The sequence below is a fragment of the Homo sapiens genome, chromosome 3 (genome assembly GCF_000001405.40).
Source record: "Homo sapiens chromosome 3, GRCh38.p14 Primary Assembly".
In the NCBI taxonomy this organism is placed as follows: domain Eukaryota; kingdom Metazoa; phylum Chordata; class Mammalia; order Primates; family Hominidae; genus Homo; species Homo sapiens.
The window spans coordinates 109,905,254-109,913,807 of NC_000003.12; the positions used below are offsets into that span (position 1 = coordinate 109,905,254).

Here is an 8,554-nt window from a genome sequence, read left to right on the forward strand (position 1 = left end):
CCTATTGAGTTTCTCACATTGAAGCAGGAACATTTTAGTATTATGATATATCATAAAAGTTCTATTCTCTTCAGGTTACTTTTCAGCCGTCTCTGGGATATCTGAAGTCTGTAAGTGTCTGAAGCTAAAAACTTTAAGTCCCTTCCACTTATGAGCCTGTAAAATCAAAAGCAAGTTAGTTGCTTCCTAGATAAGATAGGAGAACAGGTATTGGGTAAATACACCTATTCCAAATGGGAGAAACTGGCCAAAACAAAGGGGCTACAGGGCCCATGCAAGTCTGAAATCCAGTGAGGCAGTAACTATATCTTAAAGATCTAAAATTACCTCCTTTGACTCCATGTCTCACATCCAGGTCATGCTGATTCAAGAAGTGGTCTCCCACAGCCATGGGCAGCTCTGTCCCTGTGGCTTTTCAGGGTACAGCCTCCCTCCTGACTGATTTCCCAGGCTGGCATTGAGTGTCTGCAGCTTTTCCAGGCTCATGGTGCCAGCTGTTGGTGGATCTGTTATTCTGGGGTTTGGAGAATGGTGGCTGTCTTTTGATAGCACCACTAGGCTATGCCCCAGTAAAGACTCTGTGTACGGGCTCCATCCCACATTTCCCTTCTGCACTGCACTAGCAGAGGTTCTCCATGAGGTCTCCACCCCTGCAGTAAACTTCTGCCTAGACATCCAGGTGTTTCCTTACATTCTCAGAAATCCAGGCAGAGGTTCCCAAACCTCAATTCTTGACTTCTGTGCACCTGCAGGCTCAACACCATGTGGAAACTGCCTAGGCTTGGGGCTTGCAGCTTCTGAAGCCATGGCCTGAGCTGTACCTTGGCCCCTTTTAGCCACAGCTGGAGCAGCTGGGAAACAGGGCACCAAGTCCCTAGGCTAGACAAAGCACAGTGACCCTGGGCCTGGCCCACAAGACTGTTTTTTCCTCCTGGGCCTGCCTCCACACCTGTGATGGGAGATGCTGCTGCTAAGGTTTCTGACATGTCCTGGAGACATTTTCCCCATTGTCTTGGTGATCAGGATTTGGCTTCTCCTTACTTATTCAAATTACTGCAGCTGAACGGAATTTCTCCTCAGAAAATGGGTTTTTCTTTTCTATTGCATCCTCAGGCTGCAAATTTTTGGAACTTTTATGCTCTGCTGCCCTTTTCAACATACGTTCCAATTCCAAACCATATCTTTGTGAATACATAAAACCAAATGCTTTAAACAGCATGCAGGTTGCATCTTGAATGCTTTGCTGCTTAGAAATTTCTTCCACCAGGTACCCTAAATCATCTCTCTGAAGTTCAAAGTTCCTCAGATCTTTAGGGCAGGGGTAAAATGTCACCAGTGTCTTTGCTAAAACATAGCAAGAGTCACTTTTATTCCAGTTCCCAACAAGTTCCTCATCTCCATCTGAGATCACCTCAGCCTGAACTTCATTGTACACATCACTATCAGCATTGTGGTCAAAGCCATTCAACAAGTCTCCAGGACGTTCCAAACTTTCCCACATCTTTCTGTCTTCTTTTGAGCCCTCCAAACTGTTTCCACCTCTGCTGATTACCCAGTTCCAAAGTTGCGTCCACATTTTTGGGTATCTTTACAGCAGCACCCCAACACCCAGTACCAATTTACTGCATTTGTCCAATCTCACACTTCTAATAAAGCACGGTCATTTTTACAGTATTGATCCTACCAATCTATGTACATGGATGTGTTTCCATTTGTTTGTGATATATATATATATATATATATATATATATATATATATATATATATATATACATTTGCAGCTATGATAGAAGGGGTTGAGTTCTTGATTTGATCTTCTGCTATGTCACTGTTGGTGTATAGAAGAGCTACTGATTTGCATATATTAATCTTGTATCTGGAAACTTTGCTGAATTATTTTATCAGTTCTAGGAGCTTTCTGGAGGAGTCAGAATTTTCAAGGTAAACAATCATATTGTCAGCAGACAGGGACAGTTGGACTTCCTCTTTACTGATTTGGATGCTGTTTATTTCTTTCTCTTGTCTGATTGCTCGGGCTAGGACTTCCAATACTATGTTGAAGAGGAGTGCTGACAGTGAACATCCTTGTCTTGTTCCAGTTATCACAGGGAATGATTTCAACTTTTCCCCATGTGGTATTATGTTGGCTGTGTGTTTGTCATAGATGGCTTTTATTATATTGAGGTATGTCCCTTGTATAACAGTTTGGCTGAGAGTTTTAATCATAAAGGGATGCTGCATTTTGTCGAATGCTTTTTCTTCATCTATTGAGATAATCACGTAATTTTTGTTTTTAATTCTGTTTATGTGGTGTATGACATTTATTGACTTGAGTATGTTAAACCATCCCTGCATCCCTGATATGAAATGTGCTTGATCATGGTGGATTATGTTTTTGATACGTTGTTGGATTCAGTTAGCTACTATTTTGTTAAGGATTTTAGCATCTATGTTCATCAAGGATATCAGTCTGTAGTTTTCTTTTTTGGTTATGTCCTTTCCTGGTCTTGGCATTGTGGTGATGCTGACCCCATAGAATGAATTAGGAATGGTTCCCTCTTTCTCGATCTTGTGGAATAGTGTCAAAAGGATTGGTACAAATTCTTCTTTGAAGGTTTGGTAGAATTCTGCTGTGAATTTGTTTGGTCCATGACTCTTTTTCTTTGTAATTTTTAAATTACCATTTCAATCTTGCTGCTAGTTATTGGTCTGTTCAGGGTATCTAATTCTTCCTGATTTAAGCTAGGAGAGTTGTATTTTTCCAGGAATTTATCCATCTCTTCTAGGTTTTCCAGTTTATGTGCATAAAGGTGTTCATAGTAGCCTTGAATGATCTTTTGTATTTCAGTGGTGTCAGTTGTAATATCTCCCACTTCATTTCTGAATGAGGTTATTTGGATTTTCTCCATTCTTTTCTTGGTTAATCTTGCTAATGGTCTATCAGTTTTATTTATCTTTTCAAAGAACCAGCTTTTCATTTTATTTATCTTTTGTATTTTTTTTTTTGCTTGTTTGTTTCAATTTCATTTAGTTTTTCTCTGATCTTGGTTCTTTCCTTTCTTCTGCTGGATTTGGGTTTGGTTTGTTCTTGTTTCTCTAGTTCCTTGAGGTATGACCTTAAAATGTCTCTTTGTTTTCCTTCAGTCTTTTTGATGTAGGTGTTTCGGGCTATGAACTTTCCTATTAGCACTATCTTGGCTGTATGCCAGAGGTTTTGATAGGTTGTGTTATTATTGTCGTTTAGTTGGAAGAATTTTTTAATTACCATCTTGATTTCATTTTTGACCCAATGCTCATTCAGGAGCAGGTTATTTAATTTCCATGTATTTGCATGGTTTTGAAGGTTTCTTTTGGAATTGATTTCCAGTTTTATTTCACTGTGGTCTGAGAGAATGCTTGATATAATTTCAATTTTCCTAAATTTATTATGGTTCATTTTGTGGCCTACCATATAGTCTATCTTGGAGAAAGTTCCATGCACTATTGAATAGAATGTGTATCCTGTGGTTGTTGGATGGAATGCTCTGTATATATCTATTAAGTCCATTTGTTCCAAGGTGTAGTTTAAATCCGTTGTTTCTTTGTTGGCTTTCCGTCTTGATGACCTGTCTAGTGCTGTCAGTCGAGTTGTGAAATCCCCCACGATTATTGTGTTGCTGTCTATCTCATGTTTTAGGTCTATTAGTAATTGCTTTATAAATTTTGGAGCTCCAGTGTTAGGTGCATGTATGTTTAGGATTGTGATATTTTTCTGTTGGACAAGGACTTTTACCATTGTATAATATCCCTCTTTGTCTTTTTTAACTGCTGTTTCTTTAAAGTTTGTTTTGTCTGATATAAGAATAGCTATCACTGTTCACTTTTGGTGTCCACTTGCAGGAAATGCCTTTTTCCACCCCTTTAATTTTATGTGAGTCCTTTATGTGAGTTTCTTGAAGGCAGCAGGTAGTTGGTTGGTGAGTTCTTACCCATTCTGCAGTTCTTTTTCTTTTAAGTGGAGCATTTAGGCCATTTACATTCAATCTGAGTATTAACATGTGAGGTACCGTTTCCAGGATTTGTTTCAAGATTTAAACCTCCTTTTAGCAGTTCTTGCAGTGGTGGCTTGGTAGTGGCAAATTCTTTTAGCATTTGTTTGTCTGAAAAGGCTATATTTATTCTTCATATATGATGCTTAGTTTCACTGGACACAGGATACAAAATTATTGGCTGATAGTTTTTTTGTTTGAGGAGGCTGAAGATAGGGCCCCAATCCCTTCTAGCTTGTAGGGTTTCTGCTGAGAAATCCGCAGTTAATCTGATAAATTTTCTTTACAGGTTACCTAGTGCTTTTGTCTCACAGCTCCTAAGATTCTTTCCTTTGTCTTAACTGTAGATAACCTGGTGACAATGCGGTTACATGATAATCTTTTGGCAATGAATTTCCGAGGTGTTCTTTGTGCTTCTCATTTTTGGATATCTAGGTCTCTAGCAAGGCCAGGGAAGTTTTCCTTTAATATTTCCCCAAATATGTTTTCCAAACTTTTAGATTTCTCTTCTTCCTCAGGAACACTGATTATTCTTAGGTTTGGTTATTTAACATAATCCCAGACTTCTTGGATGCTTTGTTCATACTTTCTTATTCTTTTGTCTGTCTTTGTTGGATTGGGTTAATTTGAAGTCCTTGTCTTTGAGCTTTGAATTTCTTTCTTCTACATGTTCAATTCTATTGCTGAGACTTTCCATAGCATTTTGCATTTCCATAAGTATGTCCAATGTTTCCTAAAGTTTTGATTGTTTTTTATTTATGCTATCTATTTCCTTGAATAGTTCTCCCTTCACTTCTTGTATTGTTTTTTGGATTTCCTTGCATTGGGCTTTGCCTTTCGCTGGTGCCTCCCTGATTAGCTTAATGATTAACCTTCTGAATTCTTTTTCAGGTAAATCAGGGATTTCTTCTTGGTTTGGATCTATTGCTGGTGAGGTAGTGTGATTTTTTTGGGGAGGGTGTTAAAAATCCTTATTTTGTCATATTAGCAGAGTTGATTTTCTGGTTCCTTCTCTTTTTGGTAGGCTCTGTTAGAGGGAAGGTCTAGGGCTGAAAGCTGTTGTTCAGATCCTTTTGTCCCATGGGGTGTTCTCTTGATGTAGTACTTCCCCACTTTTCCTATGAACGTGGCTTCCTGAGGAAGGAAAAATCAGCTGTAGTGATTGTTATCTCTCTTCTAGGTCTAGCTACCCTGCATGTCTGCCAGGCCCTGGGTTGGTACTGGGGTATATCTGCACAGAGTCCTGTGATGTGAACCATCTATGGGTCTCTTAGCTGTGGATACTAGCACCTGTTCCAGTGGAGGTGAAAGGGGAGTGAAATGGACTCTGTGAAAGTTCTTAGCTTTGGAGGTTTAATGTTCCATTTTTGTGCTGGTTGGTTGCCTTCCAGGAGGTGACACTTTTCAGAGAGCATCAGCTTTAGTAGCATGGAGAGAAATAGGTTTCGGGCAGGGCCCTAGAACTCCCAAGATTATATGCCTTTGGCTTCCACGACCCGGGTGAGTAGGGAAGGACCATCAGGTAGGGGCAGGGCTAGACTCTCCTTGGGCAGGTCTTGCTGTGGGTGCTTTGGATGATGGAGGTGAGGTTCCCAGGTCAATGGAGTTATGTACCTAGGAGGATTATGGCTGCATCTGCTGAGTCATGAAGGTTGTTAGGAATGTAGGGGAAAGCCAGCAGTCACAGGCCTTACCTAGCTCCCACACAATCTGAAGGGCTGTGCCCTTCCCACTGTGTACCCACCCCCGCCCCACCAAACGTTTCCAGGCAGAGAGAGCCATATGGCTTGAAAATCTGCCCCAAGCTACCTGCCTCCAAGCTGTGAAAGAAAAGGGCTTGGTTCCTCCCGCTCCTGTGGAGTCTGCATACTGGATTCACACTCTTCCCGGAGTTCTGGCCAGGAGGCTTCTCTCCCTGTTGAAATTGTCACAAAGTTCAGGTAGATATTTGCTTCTCCCTGTGTAGTTTTACCCCTTGCTTCTCTCCCATTGGATCCCTGTGGTGCCAGGAAGGAATGGCCTGCTAGGGGACCCAGTGAGCTCCCAGGGCCTTTCTGCTGCTTTCTCTACCCCTGTATTTTGCTCAGCTCTCCAAATTGATTCTGCTCCAGGTAATGTCAGAAACTTCTCCCACAAACAGACCTTCAGCTTCTTTAGTGGGAGTATGTGTTAGGGAGAGGAGGGTCTCCCTTTCCCACTTCTGCAGTTGGGGCACTCACAATTTTGTGGGGGTCTCCTGGTTCTTGCAGGAGCAGTCTGCTTCCTTCAGAAGGTCTGTGGGTCCTCTGGGGATTGCTGGTTTGTTCTTGCAGTAGGTCTGGAGCTATAATTCACATTGTGAGCCACCACCCACTGCTCTGTCTGGAGCTGCCAAGGTATGTCCTTTCTATGCTGATTTTGCCTAGGGTTTTAATCATAAAGCAATGCTAGATTTTGTCAAATACTTTTTCTGTGTCTATTGAGGTAATCATGTGATTTTTAACATATGATCATGTAAATCATATGTTAAACCATTCCTGTATCCCTGATATGAAACCCACTTGATTATGGTGGATTATATTTTTGATATGCTGTTCAATTATGCCAGCTACTATTTTGTTGAGCATTTTTGCATCCATGTTTATAGGAGTATTGGTCTGTAGCTTTCTTTTTCATTTTCTTTTTTTTTTGTTTTGTTATGTTCTTCCCTGGCTTTTTTTTTTATTAGGGTGATACTGGCTTCATAGAATGATCTAGGGAGGATTCCCTCTGTCTCTATCTTTTGGAATAGTGTCATTAGGATTGGTACCAATTCGTCAATGAATGTGACAGAATTCAGCTTTGAATTTTCTGGTCCTAAATTTTTTTTACTGGTAATTTTTAAATTACCATTTCAATCTCACTGCTTGTTATTGGTCTGTTCAGAGATTCTATACCTTCCTGATTCAATCTAGGAGAGTTGTATATTTTCAGAAATTTATCCATCTCCTTTGGGTTTTCTAGTTTATGTGTGTAAATGTGTTCATAGTAGCTTTGAATAAATATTTTGTATTTATGTGGTATCAATAGTGATATCTCCAGTTTCATTTCTAGTTGAGCTTATTGAGATCTCTTTTCTTTTTTTGGTTAATCTCACTAACGGTCTATCAATTTTGTTTACCTTTTCAAAGAACCAGCTTTTCGTTTCATTTATCTTTTGTATTTTGTTTGTTTGCTTATTTCAATTCTATTTTGTTCTGCTCTGGTCTTTATTTCTTTTCTCCTCCTCGCCGTGGGTTTGGATTCTTCTTATTTCTCTAGTTACATGAGGTGTGACCTTAGATTGTCTATTTGTGCTCTTTCAGACTTTTTGGTGCAGGCATTTAATGCTATGAACCTTCCTATTAGCACGGCTTTTGCTGAATCCCAGAGGTTTTGATAGGTTGTGTCACTATTATCTTTCAGTTCAAAGTATTTTTTTAATTTCCATCTTGATTTCATTGTTGACTCAATGATCATACAAGAGCAGGTTATTTAATTTCCAAGAATTTGTATGGTTTTGAGGCTTCCTTTTAGGGTTGGTTTCCAATTTTATCCCACTGTGGTCTGAAAGAGTACTTTATGTAACTTCGATTTTCTTAAATTTACTGATACTTGTTTTGTGGCCTATCATGTGGTCTATCTTGGAGAATGATCCATGGGCTGATGAATAGAATGTATATTCTGCAGTTATTGGGTAGAATGTTCTATAAATATCTGTTAAGTCCTTTTGTTGTAGGGAATATTTTAGGTCCATTGTTTCTTTGTTGACTTTCTGTCTTGATGACCTGTCTAGTGCTGTCAGTGGAGTATTGAAATCCCCCACTATTATTGTGTTGCTGCCTATCTCATTTTTTAGGTCTAGCAGTCATTGTTTTACAAATTTGGGAGCTCCAGTGTTAGGTGCATGCATATTTATAGTTGTGATATTTTCCTGTTGGACGACTCCTTTTATTATTATATAATGTCCTTCTTTGTTTTTATTTTACTATTATACTTTAAGTTTTAGGGTACATGTGCACAATGTGCAGGTTAGTTACATAAGTATACATGTGCCATGCTGGTGTGCTGCACCCATTAACTTGTCATTTAGCATTACGTATATCTCCTAATGCTATCCCTCCCCCCTCCCCCCACCCCACAACAGTCCCCAGAGTGTGATGTTCCCCTTCCTGTGTCCATGTGTTCTCATTGTTCAATTCCCAACTATGAGTGAGAATATGTGGTGTTTGGTTATTTGTCCTTGCGATAGTTTACTGAGAATGATGATTTCCAATTTCATCCATGTCCCTACAAAGGACATGAACTCATCATTTTTTATGGCTGCATAGTATTCCATGGTGTATATGTGCCACATTTTCTTAATCCAGTCTATCATTGTTGGACATTTGGGTTGGTTCCAAGTCTTTGCTATTGTGAATAGTGCCGCAATCAACATACGTGTGCATGTGTCTTTATAGCAGCATGATTTATAGTCCTTTGGGTATATTATAACTGCTGTTGCTTTAAAGTTTGTTTTGTCAGGTATA

The 8,554-nt window shown here is 39.6% G+C and overlaps 1 annotated feature.

The window, feature by feature from the left end:
* Positions 4,950–6,149: an enhancer, noted in NCBI's record as "CDK7 strongly-dependent group 2 enhancer chr3:109629050-109630249 (GRCh37/hg19 assembly coordinates)". NCBI's record gives its function as "activates an origin of replication core promoter dependent on BRD2, BRD4, P300/CBP, MED14 and CDK7 cofactors, with strong dependence on CDK7, by STARR-seq in HCT116 cells {active_cell/tissue: HCT116}" and the evidence as "EXISTENCE:reporter gene assay evidence [ECO:0000049][PMID:35650434]".